The 21,907-nt window shown below is 47.8% G+C and overlaps 1 pseudogene, besides 6 other annotated features; it reads left to right on the forward strand.

Moving 5' to 3' along the window:
* Positions 482-551: an enhancer, noted in NCBI's record as "active region_17579". NCBI's record gives its function as "activates an Ori minimal core promoter by ATAC-STARR-seq in GM12878 lymphoblastoid cells {active_cell/tissue: GM12878}" and the evidence as "EXISTENCE:reporter gene assay evidence [ECO:0000049][PMID:35858748]".
* Positions 4,276-4,777: an enhancer, noted in NCBI's record as "H3K27ac hESC enhancer chr20:17980569-17981070 (GRCh37/hg19 assembly coordinates)". NCBI's record gives its function as "activates a minimal SCP1, AML or CMV promoter by ChIP-STARR-seq in naive H9 embryonic stem cells {active_cell/tissue: H9 hESC(naive)}" and the evidence as "EXISTENCE:reporter gene assay evidence [ECO:0000049][PMID:30033119]".
* Positions 9,510-10,071: an enhancer, noted in NCBI's record as "NANOG-H3K27ac-H3K4me1 hESC enhancer chr20:17985803-17986364 (GRCh37/hg19 assembly coordinates)". NCBI's record gives its function as "activates a minimal SCP1, AML or CMV promoter by ChIP-STARR-seq in naive and primed H9 embryonic stem cells {active_cell/tissue: H9 hESC(naive and primed)}" and the evidence as "EXISTENCE:reporter gene assay evidence [ECO:0000049][PMID:30033119]".
* Positions 10,120-10,179: an enhancer, noted in NCBI's record as "active region_17580". NCBI's record gives its function as "activates an Ori minimal core promoter by ATAC-STARR-seq in GM12878 lymphoblastoid cells {active_cell/tissue: GM12878}" and the evidence as "EXISTENCE:reporter gene assay evidence [ECO:0000049][PMID:35858748]".
* Positions 11,758-12,319: an enhancer, noted in NCBI's record as "H3K27ac-H3K4me1 hESC enhancer chr20:17988051-17988612 (GRCh37/hg19 assembly coordinates)". NCBI's record gives its function as "activates a minimal SCP1, AML or CMV promoter by ChIP-STARR-seq in primed H9 embryonic stem cells {active_cell/tissue: H9 hESC(primed)}" and the evidence as "EXISTENCE:reporter gene assay evidence [ECO:0000049][PMID:30033119]".
* Positions 12,320-12,880: an enhancer, noted in NCBI's record as "H3K27ac-H3K4me1 hESC enhancer chr20:17988613-17989173 (GRCh37/hg19 assembly coordinates)". NCBI's record gives its function as "activates a minimal SCP1, AML or CMV promoter by ChIP-STARR-seq in primed H9 embryonic stem cells {active_cell/tissue: H9 hESC(primed)}" and the evidence as "EXISTENCE:reporter gene assay evidence [ECO:0000049][PMID:30033119]".
* On the forward strand, positions 16,143-17,408 carry PTMAP3 (prothymosin alpha pseudogene 3; annotated as a pseudogene).

The raw sequence follows: 21,907 nt of genomic DNA on the forward strand, positions 1-21,907 counted from the left end.
TCGGCCTCCAGCGTTCACGCCATTCTCGTGCCTCAGCCTCCTGAGTAGCTGGGACTATAGGCACCCGCCACCACGCCCGGCTAATTTTTTTTGTATTTTTAGTAGAGACGGGGTTTCACCTTGTTAGCCAGGATGGTCTCGATCTCCTGACCTCGTGATCCACCCACCTCGGCCTCCCAAAGTGCTGGGATTACAGGCGTGGGCCACCGCACCCGGCCTGTTACTTGACCTTTTTGTGCTTGATTTCCTCATCTGTAATTTGGGGGAAAATAATAGTATCTGCTTCTTGAAATTGTGAGGATTGAATGAGCGAAGCATTCAGAAAAGTGCCTGACACATGGTGGGAACAAAATGTTAGCCATCCTCCTATCAAATGATCAGACCTGGATGTGTCTCTGCTGGGTCAAAGCTTGAACATTACCACCAAATTCCTCTCCAAAACAGTGACATCGACTTAATGTCCCACCAGTGGTGTCTGAAATTTCCTGATTTCTCGCATATTCTCTAACACAAGAGTTGTGAGCCCCTCTTCTGACGGTATGAAAACCATTTTTTTTTTGGAACAGCATTAACGCGTGAATAAAATCTGCTTTAAAACGCGACTGTCATCTAGTGGTGAGAGAAGTACACTGCAATTATGGGGCAGAAGCCAAAAATGGGCGGACCTACATCTATCTCCGGGTAATTTGGGCATTTTAGTCACCAACACAGGTCTGTTTTGAATAAAATCAACTACATGAGTGTTCTTCCTTTACCTCTGTATTTTCAGGCAGCTTGTACTTCTCACTTTTTCTACTACAATAATATAGAAGCCTGGCTACACAGCCCAGTGAGGCCCCTTGCTACCAAATGCATCTGGGTCACCGGTTCGGAAAAGTGGAGTGAGATAAAGTAGAAATGAGGCTATTTACCAAACTGGTAGGAAACTGCAGCTCCAACCAGGGCGGGCTTCCCACAGGCAGCACTGATTTTCCAGCAGGAGAGATGGCAATTCCCACGTTGGTGCAGGTCATACAGGCACTGCAGGGGACTCAGCTCAGTCGGCTCACCAGAGCCCCAGTTAATGCGTCCCAATCAGCCTCAGCCATTCTCTGCGAGGACTTCTAAAAGGATTGAAAAGTGTATGAAAGTGTTAGATATTAATCATCAGAGACATAGATATAGTTTTAAAGATCTGTTAGATAACAAATATTATCTAACAGGTTAGGTAACATGCTACAATTTTGTGATGAACAAAAATGTTCATTAAAGGTAATAGTGTAAAAAAGCAATGTTGCTGAAATGTAACCTAATGTGTCTTTAAGTAATAGTATCACTAAACTAATGGCATATTAAAAGTTTTTTAAAAAAAGAAGCCGTGTGCGGTGGCTTGTGCATGTAATCCCGACATTTTCGGAGGCTGAGGCTGGCAGATTGCTTGAGCCCAGGAGTTCAAGACCAGCTTGGGCAACATGGCAAAATCCTGTCTCTACAAAAAATACAAAAATTAGCCAGGCATGGTGGTGCACACCTGTAGTCAGGCCCAGCTACTCAGGAGGCTGAGGTGGGAAGACCACTTGTGCCTGGGAGGCAGAGGCTACAGTGAGCCAAGATCACACCACTTCACTCCAGCCTGGGGGACAGAGGGAGACCCTGTCTCAAAAAAAAAAAAAAGTTAAAAAAGAAAACAAATTCTAAAGAACAGCAAGCTAAGGTCAACTGTGATTAGAAGCATTCATTTAGGCAAGTCTAGACTGTCCTACTGCACCAGTCTCACTCATTTCTAAGCTGTTGTTTGTGCTGACACCTTTGCATAAAATAACTTCCCTTCCTCCCTTTGTTCAGCCATATCTTGCCTGAGAGCTTGGGCCTGAACCGCAATCCCACTGATGATCTGCTCAAGTCTTACCTGCTCCACAGGAAACAAAATGGTATAGGGCAGGAAGCAGGAGCCTCAGAATTGGGCAGAGGTGGGTTCAAATCCTGCTGTGCAATGCTAAGTCACTTCAGCTCTCCATGCCTTTTTCCTCACTAGTAATTTGGGGAAGAGTATTAACCTCAGTGTTCCTGGAAAGATTAACATAGGAAATGTGTGACAAATGCTGAACGTGGAATAGGCACTGGGCAAAGATCAACTACTTCCTCCGTGGAACCGACTCTACCCTTCACTGAACTCTTGTGGTGCCTTTGTTTTTACCACCCACTTTGATTCTTGTTCATATTCTACCTTTTTCTGTTACTTCACTATTTCAGATGTACATGTAACAAACACAGTGAAACCCCGTCTCTACTAAAAATACAAAAAATTAGCCGGGAGTGGTGGCACATCCTGTAGTCCCAGCTACTCAGGAGGCTGAGGCAGGAGAATCGCTTGAACCCTGGAGGGGGAGGTTGCAGGGAGCAGAGATTGCACCACTGCATTCCAGCCAGGGCGGCAGAACGAGACTCCGTCTCAAAACAAAAACAAACAAACAAACAAAAAGACAAAAAAAACTACTTATTTTATATCTATTTCTTAAGTAAAATGAAAAACAAAAAGAAAAAAACTCTCAAATCTGAACCCAAAACATCTTTTTATTTATTTATTTTTTTGAGACAGGGTCTCATTCTGTCGCCAAGGCTGGAGTGCAGTGGCACAATCTTGGCTCACTACAACCTCTGCCTCCTGGATTCAAGCGATTCTCTTGCCTCAGCCTCCCGAGTAGCTGGGATTACAGGTCATTACCACCGCACCTGGCTAATTTTTTGTATTTTTAGTAGAGACGGGGTTTTTTCATGTTGGCTGGCTGGTCTCGAACTCCTGACCTCAGGTGATCCATCCACCTTGGCCTCCCAAAGTGCTGCGATTATAGGCGTGAGCCACCATGTCTGGCCCAGAATAGTGTTTTAAGAGAGAGATGAGTAAAGAGACAAACAACAGAGGAAACTGCCATTTCCTAGAGCAGCAGAAAAAGAGCTGGGTATCAGAATGGCTCACCAGAGAAATTTGGTTAGTGCTGGTCACCCCTTTGATAAGAGGCTGTGGGTTGACTTGTGAGCTCAGTGATTTGAAAGTTTTGAGTATATGAAGAAAAAAAAAAGAAATGAAAGCTTTGTGTAGAACTAGGGGAGTCTCGCAGTGAAACAAGACTTGCAAAATAGGATTAATGAGGCAGTACAGATAAGGATGCGATGCTGAAGAAAGTCATGGGATTGTAGTTAGACGGTGTATAAATCAGAGAGCTAAAACCAATAGGGCTTGTAGATATAGGTATATGACAGGGGATTTATTAGGGGAATGGGCTCACACAATTATGGGGGCTGAGAAGTCCTACGGTCTGCTGTCTGCAGGCTGGAAAACCAGGGAAGCTGGTAGCATGGCTCCGTCCAAGTTCAAAAGCCTCAGAACCAGAGAACCTGATAGCACTCAGTCTCAGGCCGAAAGCCTGAGAATCCAGGAGGCCACTGGTGTCCCAGAGTCCAAAAGCTGGAGAAGCTGGAGTTCTGATGTCCAAGGGCAGGAGAAGAAGGGTGTTCCAGCTCCAGAAAACAGAGCAAATCCTCCTTTCCTTTGCCTTTTTGTTATCCTGGCCCTCAGCTGATGGACGGTGCCCCCTGACATTGAGTGAGGATGGATCTTCCTTACTCAGTCCACTGATTCAAATGCCAGTTTCTTCCAGAAACACCTCACAGACACCTCAAAATAATGCTTCGCCAGCTGTCTGGGTGTCATTAATCCAGTTACGCTGACACCTAAGATTGACCATCATAGGTGGTAATTCATTCCTTTACCCGACAAATGTCTTATTGAATATTCATGTCTGCCTTGTGCTAGTTTTTTGCAAAATGCATGGAGCTGACAGTCTAGAGAAAGGGCAAACAATTAATAAGTGAGAAAGTTAGTATGAAAATTACAGATTGACAGTGCCATGAAGAAACAGAGGATCACTGAGCCAGGAGGAGAATTGCAACTTTGGATTGTGTGGTCAGAGAGGGCTCCTCTGAGGGGCGACACATAACATGATACTTGAAGGAGGAAAGGAGGAAACGTGGCCAGCACTGCAGAGAGCCACAGGAAGAATATTCCAGCAGAAGGATCAGCATGTTCAAAGGCCCCAGGGTAGGAAAGAACAGCATGTTACAGGAGCTATAAGAACACAGGGGTGGCCAGAAGGCAGTGGGGAAAGGAAAGGAATTGCAGGCTGCAGAAGTGGGCGGGGGAGCCAGATGATGTCAAACTCAATATGCCATGGTAAGGAGTTTAGATTTTACTCTAAGATGGAAAGACAGGGATAAGCAGGGGAATAAAGCCATTCCATTGCCTTTTAAGAAGAGCGGGGCCAAGTGCAGTGGCTCTCACCGGTAATCCCAGCACTTTGGGAGGCCAAGGCAGGAGATCACTTGAGCCCAGGAGTTCGAAACCAGCCTGGGCAACATAGTGAGACCTCCACCTCTATTTTTTTTTATTTTATCTTATCTATTTTATTTTATTTATTTTGAGATGGAGTTTTGCTCTTGTCGCCTAGGCTGGAATGCAATGGCGCCACTTCGACTCACCGCAACATCTGCCTCCCAGGTTCGAGTGATTCTCCTGCCTCAGCCTCCCGAGTAGCTGGGATTACAGGTGCATGCCAACGCCACCATGCCTGGCTAATTTTTGTATTTTTAGTAGAGATGGGGTTTCACCAGGCTGGTCTCGAACTCCTGACCTCAAACGATCCACCTGCCTCGGCCTCCCAAAGTGCTGGGATTACAGGCATGAGCCACCGTACCTGGCCTAATTTAATTAAAATTATTTAAAAGACGAAGAAGAAGAAAAAGAAGAAGAAGAGGAGGAGGAGGAGGCGGCGGCGGCAGCAGCAGCAGCAGAAGCAGATCAGCATTGTTTGGAGAGCAGAATGCAGGAGGCAAGTGCTGAAGCACAGCCTGGCTGGACTATTATAGACAGAGCTATTATAATAGGAGTCAGCACACTGGCTCATCCACCAAATCCGGCTTGCTGCCTGATACAGTCTTTATACGGTCTGTGAGCATAGAGTTGTTTTTACATTTTTAAATGTTTGGAAAAAAAATCAAAAGTAGAGTCTTTTTATGGCATATATAATTTTTATAAAATTGTAAAGATTCGAATTCCAGTGTCTGTAAGTCAAGGTTTCCTGGAACACAGCATCACCCATTTGCTTTTGACTCTGGCTGCTTTCCTTCTGTAGCTGCAGGTTAAGTCGGTAACAGAGGCTGTATGGCCTGCAAAGCCTCAAGTATTTACTATCTGGACTTCTATAGAGTAAGTCTGCCGACTCTCAGTCTAGATGATAGAAGAGGTAGGCTGGCCTAGAGAAATGGCAGAGGAGGTGCTGGGAAGGAAGATTCGAGATGTATTTTGGGAGCCTTGCCTGAGGGTTTGAATGAGATGAGTGATGAAGAAGTATAAATGGAAGGTAAGTTGTAGGTTTAGGGCATGTGTGTTATTTGCTGACATGGGAAAGGCTGGAGGGAGAAAATCCAGGTCCAGCCCCATCTTTTCTCCTCACTAACACTATCAGTTAGCTTTGCTGTGCAATAAATCACCCAGCCTGGGCAACATGGTGAGACTCGCTTCTAGAAAAAACGGAAAAAAACAAAATAAAACAAACTAGCTGGTTGTGGTGGCACATGCCTGTGGTCCCAGCTACTTGGGAGGCTGAGTTGGGAGGATCGCTTGAGCCTGGGAGATAGAGGTTGCAGTGAGTCATGTTTGTGCCACAGCACTCCAGTCTGGGTGACAGAGTGAGACCTTGTCTCAAAAACAAGTAAATAAAAATCACCCCCAAATTCAGTGGTTTACGACTTATTTCTCATGATTCTGAGGTCAAGCTGAGCATTTCTGGTCTGTGCTGGCTCAAGTAGGGCTAGATGATTTAGGATGTCATCACTTAGATGTCTGAGGGTTGGCCTGGTGTCAGCTGGGGCCATGGAGATGCCTGGGCCTGGTGACTCTCATCCTCCAGAGGGCTAACCTGGGCTCTCATTCACGCAGCAGTAGCAGAAGGATTCCGGACAGCAGCAGAACAAGCCCCAGCACACAGCATTTCACAAGCCTCGGCTTGGGCCGTGCTGACTAATGTCTCGTTTGCCAAAGCAGGTCATGTGGCCAAGGCAAGACCAAAGGATAGAGAAATAAATTCCACCTCTTGCAGAGAGGAGCCAAAAACTCACATGGCAAAGGGCTGTGGAACAGGAAAGGGAACAATGGGCCCATTTTTACAACCCACCATGCTAACAGCATGACCCAGGCAAGTTATCTAAAGCTTTTGAGCCTCAGTGTCCTCGTCTGTAAATGGGTAAAATAATAACTACTTCATAGGGTATTCATAAAGACTAGAAATAGCTGGCACATAACATAGTAGTAGCTGTTTTATTGTTATCATCATAATGAAAAAGTTCAGTCCCTGCTGGGCAAACTCATATTTCCCAAACTCCAGTCACTCCTGTGCCACAAAAAAACTTTGTTTTTGCCATATCTGAGCACCACTTAAGACTATTAAACAGGTTCACTTTTTTTTTTTTTTTTTTTTTTTTAGACAGAGTCTCGCTCTGTTGCCAGGCTGGAGTGCAGTGGCACAATCTCGGCTCACTGCAACCTCTGCCTCCCGGTTTCAAGTGATTCTCCTGCCTCAGCCTCCTAAGTAGCTGGGACTACAGGCGCACACCACCATGTCCTGCTAATTTTTTTGTATTTCTAATAGAGATGGGGTTTTACCATGTTAGCCAGGATGGTCTCGATCTCATGACCTCATGATCTGCCTGCCTCAGCCTCCCAAAGTGCTGAGATTACAGGAGTGAGCCACCGTGCCCAGCCCCACTCTTTTTATTTAAAGAAATTAATTTCAGGCTGGGTGTGGTGGCTCACGCCTGTAATCCTAGCACTTCGGGAGGCCGAGGCAGGCAGATCACCTGAGGTCGGGAGTTCGAGACCAGCCTGACCAACATGGACAAACCTCATCTCTACTAAAAATACAAAATTAGCCAGGAGTGGTGGCACATGCCTGTAATCCCAGCTACTCGGGGGGCTGAGGCAGAAGAATTGCTTGAACCTGGGAGGTGGAGGTTGCTATGGGCTGAGATAGCACCATTGAACTCCAGCCTGGGCAACAAGAGTGAAACTCTGTCTCAAAAAAAAAAAAAAAAAAAAAAAAGAAATTAATTTCAAAAGGAAGCATGAAGCATGTTAACTACTACAATGGGAAGTGACTATCACCTGTCCTAAATAGAAGGCAATAAATACATTTATTTATTGTAAAATAAATACAGTAAACACAAAGCAGTGGCCGAGCATGATGGCTCACACCTGTAATCCCAGCACGCTGGGAGCCCAAGGCAAGGGAATCACTTGAGCTCAAGGCAAGGGACTCACTTGAGCTCAGGAGGTTGAGACCAGCCTGGGCAACATGGGGAAACCCTGTCTCTCCAAAAAAAAAAAAAACGGCTGGGCACGGTGGCTCATGCCTGTAATCCTAGCACTTTGGGAGCTGAGGCAGGTGGATGACCTGAGGTTAAGAGTTCGAGACCAGCGTGGCCAACATGGTGAAACCCCCGTCTCTACTAAAAATACAAAAATCAGCCAGGTGTGGTGGCACACACCTGTAATCCCAGCTACTCAGGAGGCTGAGGCAGGAGAATCGTTTGAACCCAGGAGGTGGAAGTTGCAGTGAGCCGAGATCACGCCACTGCACTCCAGCTTGGGCAATGGAGTGAGACTCCATCTCAAAAACAAACAAACAAACAAACAAACAAACAAAGCTGGATGTGGTGACTCACACCTGTAATCCCAGCACTTTGGGAGGCCGAGGTGGGTGGATCACTTGAGGTCAGGAGTTCGAGACCAGCCTGGCCAACATAGTCTCTACTAAAAATACAAAAATTAGTCGGGCATGGTGGCACATACCTGTAATCCCAGCTACTCGGGAGGCTGAGGCACAAGAATTGCTTAAACCCAGGAGGTGGAGGTTGCAGTGAGCTGAGATCGCACCACTGCATTCCAGCCTGGGCAACAGAGTGAGACTCTGTTTCAAAAACAACCACAAACCAGGGCTAGTAATTCTAACTCACTTCTGCTTTCCAAAAGCAGAATCTGAGGGCTGCTCTCTCTTTTATAAAAGGAAGATATTCGAACAAAAGGCCAGTGACAAAGGCTGTGTTATCTACAGAGATTTTCTTCCAAACAGAATCAGAAATATAGAAAATGGATACACTTTTTTGCGGTGTACTCCAATGTTATTTAGAGCAGCACAGCACAGTACATAAAATTGTCTCAAGTCGTTTAGGAAATGCTGAGGCTAGACCAGAAACAAGAGGGAGAAAATCGCCCGTTTAACAACTTTCCCCTTCATGAAGCTCGAGACACATATAGGACATGGGGCAAAGACCTGGTGTGGCTCAGGGACTTTCCACCTCCTAGCTGTGTAACCTTGAACTCACCTGTCGACATTTGGAGGCCTGGGGATTCTCAAGAAAAATGCAGTTAATGACAGCTTGCCTGCCTCACAGGGTCCCTTAAGAACCAATTGTGAGCCTACATGTCACAAGCCCTCATAGTCTGTAAAATGCTGAATAAATAGAGCAGATTGTAAGGCTATTCCCTGAGGCTAGGCATGAGGAGGTGAGCTGTGAGGAAGGGAGAACCAGCTCATTAACCAGGGGAACAAATGACAGTGTGATGGCATCCCTCCCACATCCATGGGGGCCTCTAAAATCAAGGAGCCAGCCAGTGGTAGGGCCTAGAGATGAGAGGACTGGTGGCCTCTCCAACTGCTTTCCAGTTCCAGGACCTCCAGCTTGTCACCAGGACAACCAGGCAGCCCTCACTCCCTGCACGGCAGCTCAGGTGTCACCCCAGGACATGGAATTGATCGAGAGGCCTCTGCCCCTTCCTTTGGTAGGTTTCTTTGCTGAATGCTCAAGAAGCAGCTCCCTGGTTAGGAATTCCAAGAACTTCTAACTGACAGGGAGTCCCAGCTGTCCCATCATGGAAGGCAGCCACCATATGTGTGGAGAGACTGTGAACTGTGAACTACACTTACGTAACCCTGAACTCGAGTCTTGCTCACAAGACCCAGCTCATGTTCCCTGCGCTGCGAAGCTTCCCAGGAATGGTCCGTGGTTGTTCTGTCTACTGTTGCATTTGACACAGGGCTCTGCCAAGGTATTCACCACATCTGCTTGTATATCCATCTCCCCACTAGACTCTGGGCAAGCCTCCAACTTTCAAATTATTATTATTTTTTTGAGACAGTGACTTGCTCTGTTGCCCAGGCTGGAGTGCAACACTGGTGCCAACATGGCTCACTGCAGCCTCGAACTCCTGGACTCTAGTGATCCTCCCACCTCAGCCTCTTATGTAGCTGGGACTGTAGGCATGTGCTACTATGCCTGGCTGATTTTAACAGTTTTTGTAGAGACAGGGGTCTTGCAATTTTGCCTAGGCTGGTCTCGAACTTTTGACCTCAAGTGATCCACCCAACTCAGCCTTCCAAAGTGCTGAGATTACATGCATGAGCCACCGTGCCCGGCCTAAACCTCCCATTTTATGTTTCCTCTGCCCCTGGTCTAACTCAGTGCCTGGTATGTGGCAGACACACAGGTCAGTGTTACAAATGACCATACCCTCACACTCGCTGTTCCAAATGATGGCTTCTTACTAAGAACCTGAGAATTTCTGCCTGCGGGTTTTGTCTGGGTGCGGATCAGGCCAAAGTTCCATGGAGTTAACACCCTGGGGCAACACTTAAGCAATGAAAACCAGCAGTTAGTGGATGAATAGCCCAGCACGGGACAACCCTGGGGCAGGTTCTGCACAGTCACCTGGCCAGACCCAGCAGCACTGAGCCCTGGCTGTCCACAGCAGTGACTGCTCATAACCACTCTGCCTTCTCTTTCAGTCTCACTTCCCCTCTACCATCTCACGCTTTCTGGGTCAAAGAAACTACTATCTTGGGGTCTGCTTCTGCTGGAGCTCAAACCAAGACAACTGGCTAGTTGGCTGATTGGCTGTGTGAATGGGCACGATTAGCAGCAAAGAAAGAAATGGAAGCCCGCGCGCCGGCTGGGCCCTGGCACATGCGCTGCCCCCACAGTGTGTCTAGACTACGTCGGGGCACGTGCACAGCCAACAGATCCGACACAGGAAAAAGCACTTCTCAGCTGTCCCCACCATCCTGCTATTTGTCATTCCATCCATCTGCTGTCCCCACGAAACGCTCACCCACGTCAGCTAAAATGGTACACTGGGCTTGGAATCGGCTGGGGAAATGTCAGGCTGACAGAACAGGGGGGACAACTGAAATAGCAACTGTGTGGACGGTGGTGGTGACACAAATCTGCCCCTTTGCGTAGAAGGCAGGACTCCCAGAGCTCAGGAGGCCTCTTGCGGAGGAATTGGTATGTGGCGAAGGCTGCAGGGAGGGGGCCCTGGGACTCAGGGGCAGCTAGAGCAGGGCCCTCTGCCCTGAGAGCTCTTCACCCCTTCCTCCCAGAATAGAGGAGATTGTCCAAACATAGAACTCAGTTTGTTTAAAGTCATTGTTTATTTTTAAATGTTCAGTTCGTTTTCCAATCAATCTTCCACGGTGCAGTTCAAGAAAAATGTGTGGATTTTCATGCCTGAGGTCAGTTGCAGGATGTACCTCGCAGAACAGCGTGTGCCCCTGCAAGCTGGGGATTGAGTGTTTTGTTCTGTTTTGTTTTCTCAGGGTAAAGGGGTCATTCTAAAAGCAGGACTGTTTGGATCTTAGAAGATTGGATATTTATTTATTATTTAAATTTTTTTCTTTTCTTTTTTTTTTTTTTTTTGAGATGAAGTCTCGCTCTGTCACCCAGGCTGGAGTGCAATGGGATGATCTCAGCTCACTGCAACCTCCGCCTCCCCAGTTCAAGCGATTCTCCCGTCTCAGCCTCCCCAACCAGCCGGGATTACAGGCGTGCACCACCATGCCTGGCTAATTTTTTTGTATATTTAGTATAGATGGGGTTTCATTTTGTTGGCCAGGCTGGTCTCGAACGTTTGACCTCAAGTGATCCACTCACCTCGGCCTCCCAAAGTGCTAGGATTACAGGCATGACCCACCGTGCCGGGCCTATTTTTTTTTTAATTTATTTTAGAGAGAAGGTCTCCCTATGTTGCCCAGGCCGTTCTCATACTCCTGGGCTCAAATGATCTGCCCACGTTGGCCTCCAAAAGTGCTAAGATTACAGGTGTGAGCCACCGCGCCTGGCCATGGATACTTATACATTCTTTCTACAAATATTTATTGAGTGCCTGTGTTGATCTAGGCACTGTCTTGAGCTCCAGGAAGAAAGCAGTGAGCAAATTCAACAAAATTCCCCACCTCTTCGAGATTACAGACCTGTGGGAGGGCTGGACAGTAAACAAATATATGTACAAATGTCAGGAGATTTTAAGTGTGAAGAAAAGCACAGGGGCCAGGTGTAGTGGCTCACACCTGTAATCATAGCACTTTGGGAGGCCAAGGCGGGTGGATCACCTGAGGTCAGGAGTTCAAGACCAGCCTGGCCAACATGGCAAAACCCTGTCTCTACCAAAAAATATAAAAATTAGCTGGGCATGGTGGCGGACGCCTGTAGTCCCAACTACTTGGGAGAGTGAGGCAGGAGAATGGTTTGAACCTGGGAGGCGGAGGTTGCAGTGAGCCAAGATTGCACCATCGCACTCCAGCCTGGGCGACAGAGCCAGACTCTGTCAAAAAAAAAAAAAAAAAAAAAAAAGGGAAGAAGAAAAGCAAAGGAAAGAAAATGCAATTTGAGTATTTGAGTTTGGGTGGCCAGGGAAGGTGTTCCAGTCATCTCACTGCATGCTAAGCCACCTCAAGACTAAGTGACTTGAAACAACAATCATTTGCTTATCTCTCATGATTCTGTGGACTAACTGGGCTCAGCTCGGCAGTACTTTTGTTCTATGCAGATTTTCTCTGCAGCTACAGTCCACTGGCGCTTGGCCAGGCTGGAACGGCCGGGATGCCTCACTTACATGTTTGGTGTCCTGGCAGGGATGGCTGGGGGGATGGGCTCAGTGGGGGTGTTTGGTCAACTGGGCTCCCCTTCCAGGTAGTCTCAGCACCTTTCCCTCTCCACAAGGCCTGTCTATGTGGCCTCTCACGTGGTCTCTCCATTTGGCCTTTCCAGCAAAGCAGCCAGACTTCTTTACATGACAGCTTGGGGCTCCTGCAATTCAGAAGCAGAAGCTGCCAGGCTGTGTCAAGGCTTAGGCCTGGAATTGGCAGGGCATCACGCCTGCCACGTCCTGTTTAGTTGAAGCCAGGACCGGCTGAGATCCCATGTGGGAGGAGGCCACACAAGGGAAGGGGTGCTGGGAGGCCTGGCTCCTTGCGGGCTGGCCACCCATGCCTCCCTGACCGTGCGCTGGCTAAGCAGAGACCAGGACAGAGGAAGGAGTGGGCCCTGCAGCGCTGAGGGGACACGCAAAGTCCCCGAGTCAGGGCTGTGCTGCAGGAGCAGCAAGGAAAGAAACAGGCCACTGTGGCGGGAGCTGAACAGCAGAGAGGAAAGATAAACGACGAGGTCAGGAGGCAGCCAGGGACCAGACTGTCCCGGCCACAGGCCACAGAGAGGGATTCAGGAGTTATTCCTAGTGGGATGAGAAGCACCGGACCTGCCTTGATCCATAACTGGTGGGTTCTGAAGCTGGGGACATCTCCGCCCCATCCCCACTGCTGGGTTCGCATGCTGCCCAGAACGGCCCTGTTTCAACTGCAGCCCCTGCTCCCAGCACCCTCCGGCTGCCTCTCTGCCTGATGGTCTCTCTGTGGCACTCAGCACCACTGCATGCCTGATATTTTACTGATGTCCCTATTGTCTTGTTTACCTTCTCACTCTAGAATGTAAACCTGAAACAGACAGGGATGTCTGTCTGTTTCATCCGTAGGCCCACAACCATTAAATAGTATTTGTTGTACCAATGAACTAACCAGCCCATCTCTGTAACCCCAGTTGGTGCTAACACTATATTGGGCCTCTAGCAAAAACTGCATGACTGAATTAATGCAACAACAACAACAACAAATACATATATATATATATATATTTTTTTTTTTTTTTTAAGAGACGGAGTCTCTCTTTGTCGCCCAGGCTGGAGTGCAGTGGCGTGATCTTGGCTCACCGCAAGCTCCACCTCCTGGATTCACGCCATTCTGCTGCCTCAGCCTCCCGAGTAGCTGGGACTACAGGTGCCTGCTACCACACCTGGCTAATTTTTGTATTTTTAGTAGAGACAGGGTTTCACCATGTTAGCCAGGATGGTCTCGATCTCCTGACCTCGTGGTCTGCCCCCCTCAGCCTCCCAAAGTGCTGAGATTACAGGTGTGAGCCACCGTGCCCAGCCAAAAAAATAATTTTTATAGTTCCAGTCAACTTATCTAAAAGTTGCTTTCAAATAAGCAATTATCCAGGGAAAATGAAGAAGAAAAAAAAAGCCTTCAAAGTAGCCCATGCCATGACCGACAGTCACAGGACAGCCTCTCATTCACCTATGATCCTGGTGTACTTGGTAAGTCAGTTACCAAGCAGTCATAGCCTGGCGAGCCCTGGATTAAAGGAGGAGAGGCCTGGAACAAGAAGGAAAATGCCAGCTGTCAGTGAGGGGAGGACAGAAAACTCAAAACACAAATGTGGTCGGGTCAGCAGGGCGATGTTTCAGAGCAAAGCAATCTAGGGCTGCATGGCAGGGACAAGCTGGCCCGTGGGCCTCAGCAGCTCTCCAAGCTGTGCCAGCAAACCACCTGACAACAGGCGATATCTGTAACAATCCTTACAACACTTTTCTTTTTTTTTTTTTTTTCAAGAAACAGGGTCTCATATGCTGCCCAGGCTAGACTCGAACTCCAGGGCTCAAGTGATCCTACAGCCTCAGCCTCCCAAGTAGCTGGGATTACAGGTTAGTGACAGGTGCCTGGCTAATTTTTTTTTTTTTTTTTAATTTTTATTTTTTTTATTGATCATTCTTGGGTGTTTCTCGCAGAGGGGGATTTGGCAGGGTCATAGGACAATAGTGGAGGGAAGGTCAGCAGATAAACAAGTGAACAAAGGTCTCTGGTTTTCCTAGGCAGAGGACCCTGCGGCCTTCAGCAGTGTTTGTGTCCCTGGGTACTTGAGATTAGGGAGTGGTGATGATTCTTAACGAGCATGCTGCCTTCAAGCATCTGTTTAACAAAGCACATCTTGCACCGCCCTTAATCCATTTAACCCTGAGTGGACACAGCACATGTTTCAGAGAGCACAGGGTTGGGGGTAAGGTCACCGATCGACAGGATCCCAAGGCAGAAGAATTTATCTTAGTACAGAACAAAATGAAAAGTCTCCCATGTCTATTTCTTTCTACACAGACACGGCAACCATCCGATTTCTCAATCTTTTCCCCACCTTTCCCCCCTTTCTATTCCACAAAGCCGCCATTGTCATCCCGGCCCGTTCTCAATGAGCTGTTGGGTACACCTCCCAGACGGGGTGGTGGCCGGGCAGAGGGGCTCCTCACTTCCCAGTAGGGGCGGCCGGGCAGAGGCGCCCCTCAACTCCCGGACGGGGCGGCTGGACGGGCAGGGGGCTGACCCCCCCACCTCCCTCCCGGACGGAGCGGCTGGCCGGGCAGCGGGGCGCCTCACTTCCTAGTAGGGGCGGCCGGGCAGAGGCGCCCCTCACCTCCCGGACCGGGCGGCTGGCCGGGCGGGGGGCTGACCCCCCCACCTCCCTCCCGGACGGGGCGGCTGGCCGGGCGGGGGGCTGAGCCCCCCACCTCCCTCCCGGACGGGGTGGCTGGCCCGGCAGAGGGGCTCCTCACTTCCCAGTAGGGGTGGCTGGGCAGAGGCGCCCCTCACCTCCCGGACGGGGCGGCTGGCCGGGCGGGGGGCTGACCCCCCCACCTCCCTCCCGGACGGGGCGGCTGGCCGGGCGGGGGGCTGACCCCCCCCACCTCCCTCCCGGACGGGGGGCTGACCCCCCCACCTCCCTCCTGGACAGGGCGGCTGGCCGGGCGGGAGGCTGATCCCCCCACCTCCCTCCCGGTCGGGGCGGCTGCCGGGCGGAGACGCTCCTCACTTCCCAGACGGGGTGGCTGCCGGGCAGAGGGGCTCCTCACTTCTCAGACGGGGCGGCTGCCGGGCGGAGGGGCTCCTCACTTCTCAGACGGGGCGGCTGGGCAGAGACGCTCCTCACCTCCCAGACGGGGTCGCGGCCTGGCAGAGGCGCTCCTCACATCCCAGACGGGGCGGCGGGGCAGAGGCGCTCCCCACATCTCAGACGATGGGCGGCCGGGCAGAGACGCTCCTCACTTCCCAGATGGGATGGCTGCCGGGAAGAGGCGCTCCTCACTTTCCAGACTGGGCAGCCGGTGCCTGGCTAATTTTAAAACTATTTTGTAGAGACAGGGTCTTGCTATATTGCCCAGGCCGGTCTCAAATTCTTGGCCTCAAGCAATCCTCCTGTCTTGGCCTCCCAAAGTGCTGGGATTACTGGTGTGAACCACCATGCCGGTCTGGAGTCATTCTTGGCTCCTCTCTTTTTCTCAGTACTAGGGTGACTGTATAATTCATTATATAAACCTGAACTTCCCCAGACAAATAAGTTGTATGGTCTATCCATTAACCCACTCCAATCCATCAGCAAATCCAGTTAGCTCTATTATAAGAGACATATCCAGCATCCGGCCATTTCTCACCTCCTCCACTATCATCCTGGTCCAAGCATTCATCGTGTCCTGCCTTTATCTTTGCAATGGCCTCCTAGTTGATCCCCCACTTCTAGACTTGCCTTTTACCCCCAAATCTGTTTTCACAGCAGCCAGAGTAAGCCCGTTAAAAATAAGTGAGATCATGTTACTCCTCTGCTGAAAATACTCGGCAGTTCAGAGGAAAATCAAAAGTCTTTAAAATGGCCTACAGCAGCAGTCCGTTTCCTGCAACCGCTCTGACCTCATTCACATGTTCCCCATCTCTTCTCACTCCACGTAAGCTACACCAGTTCTCGCGCTCTCCAGGTAAGTCAAGCACACTCCCACTTCAGCCTGGCCTTCGACTTTGCTCTTCCCCCTGCCTGGAATGCTTCCCACATAAGGACAGGGCTTCTTCTTTCATTCCTTTCTGGTCACAGGTCCCTGACTCCTGTATAAAAAAATGACATCACCCACTGGCTGCTCTGAAAAGCCATCTTTGCATTGTTCCTTGTCCGGCTCCTTGCTCGCCGCAGCCGCCTTTACCGCTGCGGACTCCGGACACTTCATCACCACAGTCCCTGAACTCTCGCTTTCTTTTTAATCCCCTGCATCGGATCACTGGTGTGCCGGACCATGTCAGACGCAGCCGTAGACACCAGCTCCGAAATCACCACCAAGGACTTAAAGAAGAAGGAAGCTGTGGAGGAAGCGGAAAATGGAAGAGACACCCCTGCTAATGGGAAGGCTAATGAGGAAAATGGGGAGCAGGAAGCTGACAATGAAGTAGATGAAGAAGAGGAAGAAGGTGGGGAGGAAGACGAGGAGGAAGAAGAAGGCGATGGTGAGGAAGAGGATGGTGATGAAGACGAGGAAGCTGAGTCCGCTAGGTCAAGCGGGCAGCTGAAGATGATGAGAATGATGATGCCTATACCAAGAAGCAGAAGACCAACAAGGATGACTAGACAGCAAAAAAGGAAATGTTAGGAGGGTGACCTATTCACCCTCCACTTCCTGTCTCAGAATCTACATGTGGTCACCTTTGAGTATTGAGGCCCGCTAACCCACCCACTGCGGGCAGTGCCACCCGCAGATGACACGGCCCACCCGCCCACCGAGGGCAGTGCCACCCGCAGATGACACGGCCCACCCGCCCACCGAGGGCAATGCCACCCGCAGATGACATGCGCTCTCCACCACCCAACCCAAACCATGAGAATTTGCAACAGGGGAGGAAAAAAGAACCAAAACTTCCCAAGGCCCTGCTTTTTTCCTTAAAAATACTTTAAAAAGGAAGTTTGTTTGCATTTTTTAATTTACATTTTATATTTTTGGACATATTGTTAGGGTCAGCCATTTTTAATGATCTCAGATGACCAAACCAGCCTTCAGAGCGTTCTCTGTCCTGCTTCTAACGTCACTTGTGATGTGACCATGTTCGTTATAATCTCAAAGGAGAAAAAAACCTTGTAAGACAAGCAAAAACGACAACAGAAAAACAATCTTATTCTGAGCATTCCAGTAACTTTTTTGTGTGTGCGTACTTAGCTGTACTATAAGTAGTTGGTTTGTATGAGATGGTTAAAAGGGCCAAAGATAAAAGGTTTCTTTTTTTTCCTTTTCTGTCTATGAAGTTGCTGTTTATTTATTTATTTATTTTTTGCCTATTTGAGGTATGTGTGAAACAATGTTGTCCAACAATAAACAGGAATTTTATTTTCCTGAGTTGTTCTAACAACAACAAAAATGACATCAGCTGGGCGCGGTAGCTCATGCCTGTAATCACAGCACTTTGTGAGGCTGTGGCAAGAGGATTGCCTGAGGCCAAGAATTCAAGACCAGTCTGGACAACATATCAAGACCCCATCTCTCCAAAAAATACATACAAATTAGCTGGGCATGGGAGCCACTTGGGAGGCTGAGGCAGGAGGATCCTTTGAGCCCAGGAGTTCAAAGCTGCAGTGAGCTATGTTTGCACCACTGCACTCCAGCCTGGGCAACAGACCAAGACCCTGTCTCAAAAAAATCAAAACAAAATGACACCAATCTCTATCAACATCACCTCCACCTCATCCCAGCTCTCCTTCTCTTACATGGTAAATTAAATTTTCTAACAATGGCTACAGTTATGTATGTTCCCACAAGTTCTTCTAGAACCATTCCTCCCGTCAAGAGAGTTTTCTTTTTTTTTTCTTTTTTTGAGACAGGGTCTCACTCTGTCACCCAGGCTGGAGTGCAATGGTGCAATCTCATTTCACTGCAACCTCTATCTTCCGGTTCAATCAATTCTCATGCCTCAGCCTTCTGAGTAGCTGGGACTACAGGCACGTACCACCACACCCAGCTAAGTTTTGTATTTTTGGTAGAGATGGGGTTTCACCATGTTGGCCAGGCTGGTCTCGAATCCTGGCCTCAAGCCATCCACCTGCCTTGGCCTCCCAAAGTGCTGGGATTACAGGCATGAGCCACCACACCTGGCCAGGAGAGTTTTCTTTCTCTCGCCTTGAATATGAACCAGCCTTTAGTAACTGGCTTCTAATAAGCAAACTGTGACAGAAGCAACGCTGCAGGACTTTTGAGGCCCGCTCTTAATTTGTGACACAGCCTCCACCTGACTCTTCCTCTTAGGACCTTCTCCTTTGGAACCTACCACGTCCTTGGAGCCCAAACCAGCCCACACAGAGAGGAGACCATAAGGAGAGGTCCATGTGGAGAGGAATTGAGGCCCCTAGCCAACCACCAGCATGAACTACCAGGTTCACGAGAGAATGGGCCTTCAGATGAAGCCCAGGCCCCAGCCTTTGAGTCTTTCAGCTGAGGTCCCAGCCATGGTGGGGCAGGGAAAGCTGCTCCTGTTCCCCTATGCTAGGCCCTGTCCAAATCTTTGACCCACAGAATCCATAAGTTTGGGCCCATCTAGTTGCACGGTCATAGTAACCAGAACACCTCATTTAATTTTTCTCTATAGAGTCTAACATAATGTGTATTTACTTGCTTCTCTATTGTCTACCCACACCCCCCTCCAAGAGAACGTGAGTTCCTTGAAGGCAGAAACTTTTGTCTATTTTTTCTAGCCTCAGTATCTAGAAAAGTACCTAGCACACAGTGAGCACTTGAAAAATATTTGTTGAACAAATGAATTAAAGAAAACTGCTAATTAAAGAAAACTGCTCCTTACTATAATTCGCAACACCTTCTGCTGAGGCATGCGACCTTTTCCTGAAGAAAGTGTTCTCTGGTGTGTTTTGGACCAGCTCCCTGCTAAAAAATATCTCTTGTCAGCCATCTGGAAAATGATAAAGTTGGATCCATACCTCCCACTATACACCAGGAAATAGTCCAAGCGGATCAAAGATTTATACATGGTAAAATGAAGCCATTCAAGTCCTAGAAAAAAGCCCCGTAGCATTCTGATGTCGCCTTGGAGTAGGAAAGCCTTTCTAGCTACGACTCAGTCTCCAGCAGCCATTAAAGAAAAAGATGGGCTGGGTGCAGTGGCTCACACCTGTCACCCCAGCCCTTTGGGAGGCCGAGGCAGGCCGATTGCTTGAGCTCAGGAGTTCGAGACCAACCTGGGCAACATAGCAAGACATCTCTACTCAAAGAAAAAAAAAAAAAGAAAGGAAGAAAGAAAGAAAAAGATGGATCAACTCAAAGTACATAAAAATAAAAAACTTCTGCTTGGTCACAACAACAACAAAACAGAATGAGCAAAATCAGGCCGGGCGCGGTGGCTCACGCCTGTAATCCCAGCACTTTGGGAGGCCGAGGCGGGCGGATCACGAGGTCAGGAGTTTGAGACCAGCCTGGCCAACAGGGTGAAACTCCATCTCTACTAAAAATACAAAAATTAGCCAAGCGTGGTGGCGGGCACCTGTAATCCTAGCTACTTGGGAGACTGAGGCAGGAGAATTGCTTGAACCTGGGAGGCGGAGGTTGCAGTGAGCCGAGACCACGCCATTGCACTCCAGCCTGGGCGACAGAACAAGACTCCATCTCAAAAAAAAAAAAAACAAAAACAAAAACAGAAAAACCAAAGAAACAAAAAACTTCTGGAGATTAGGCAGAAAAAAAAGACCAAGCTAGGCAGAAACCCAGTGGGAAAATGGACATTCAGGCAGGCAGTTCACAGAAAAGGGGACTATAAAGTCAGCCCTCTGTATCCAAGAGTTCTACATTGTGGATTCAACCAACGACAGGTTGAAAATATTTGGGGTCAGGAGCAGTGGCTCATGCCTGTAATCCTAGCACTTTGGGAGGCTGAGGTCGGAGAACTGCTTGAGACCAGCCTGGGTAACATAGTGAGACCCTGTCTCTACAAAATATTAACTGGGCGTAATGGCACATGCTTGTAGTCCCAACTTCTCAGGAGGCTGAGGTAGGAGGATCACCTGAGCCTGGGAGGTCAAGGCTGCAGTGAGCCAAGATTATGCCACTACACTCCAGCCTGGACAACAGAATGAGATCCTGTCTCAAAAAAAAAAAAAAAAAAAAAAAAAAAAAAAAAAAAAAAAAAAAAGGAAAAACCTAATAAAAATAATATAAATAAAAAACAACAAAGCATAACTACTATTTATATAGCATTTACATAGTATTAGCTATTATAAGTAATGTAGAAATGATTTAAAGTATATGGAATGGCTGGAAGTGGTGGCTTATGCCTGTAATCCTAGCACTTTGGGAGGCCGGGGCGAGAGGATCACTTGAGTTCAGGAGTTTGAGACAAGCCTGGACCACATAGTGAGACCTCATCTTTAAAAATACACATATATGTGTGTGTGTGTGTGTGTGTGTATCTATGTATGTCTATATATCTATATCTATATCTATATCTATCTATCTATAATTAGGCCATATCTATCAACATTATAAAAACCAGCAACTTACATCATAATGTGCCAAACTTCCTGATATATTTTGAAAAGATCCCCAAAACTCCTAGAAGTTTTATATCTATATCTATATATATATATATATATATATATCTCCATATATATATATATATATCTCCATATATATATATATATATATATCTCCATATATATATATATATATATATATATATGGACGTATATATATACACACACACACACATATATATATATGGAAGGATGTGCGTAGTTTATATGCAAATACTATACCTTTTTTTTTTTTTTTGAGATGGGGTCTCACTCTGTCACCCAGGTTGGAGTACAGTGGAGCAATCTTGGCTCACTGCAACCTCTGCCTCCCAGGCTCAAGCGATCCTCCCACCTCAGCCTCCCGAGTAGCTGGGACTACAGGCCTGTGCCACCAGCCTGGAAAATTTTTTGTATTTTTGGTAGAGGTAGGGTTTTCCCATGTTGCCCAGGCTGGTCTTGAACTCCTGAGCTCAAGTGATCTGCCCGCCTTGGCCTCCCAAAGTGCGGGGATTACAGGTGTGAGCCACGGTGCCCAGCCAGTACTACACCATTTTACATCAGGGACTTGAACATCTGTGGATTTTGGTATCTGTAGCGGTCCTGGAACCAATCCCACGCACATAGACTGTACAAATGGCCCTTAATCATATGAAAAAACATTAACTCTCTCTCAAATATAACAAAAATATAAAATTATACCGAAAACCTATTTCTTCCATATCAGATTGGCAGACATCCCAAACCATAGCAAGACAACACTGGCAGGGTGGTGAGGTCACAGGCACTCTCACACATCACAAACAATACAACCTCTGGGTAGGGTAATTAGGCTGTATCTATCAACATTATAAAAACCAGTAGCTTACATCATAATGGGCCAAACTTCCTGATATATTTTGAAAAAAACCCAAAACTCCTAGAAGTTAGGCAGAGAAAAAGACCAACACCCCAGTGGAAAAAGGGGCGTTAAAGCAGTTCACAGAAGAAGGAACTACAAATGACCCTTAATTGTATGAAATTGTTAGCTCTAACCATTGCATTTCTGGGAATTTATCCCACAGATATATTTGCACCTATATGAAATGACATATGTATATTACTCATTGTAGCATTCTCCATAGTAGCAAAATATTGGAAATAACGTTACTGCCTATCAATAGAAGACTGATAGCCTAAATTATGGCACATCCATATAATACAATACCAGATAGCTGTAAAGAAGAATGAAAACACTTTTTTTTTTTTTTTTGCGATGGAGTCCACTCTGTTGCCCAGGCTGGAGTGCAGTGTCACAGTCTTGGCTCACTCCAACCCCTGCCTCCCAGTTTCAAGCGAT

Source organism: Homo sapiens, chromosome 20 (assembly GCF_000001405.40).
Source record: "Homo sapiens chromosome 20, GRCh38.p14 Primary Assembly".
NCBI lineage: Eukaryota > Metazoa > Chordata > Mammalia > Primates > Hominidae > Homo > Homo sapiens.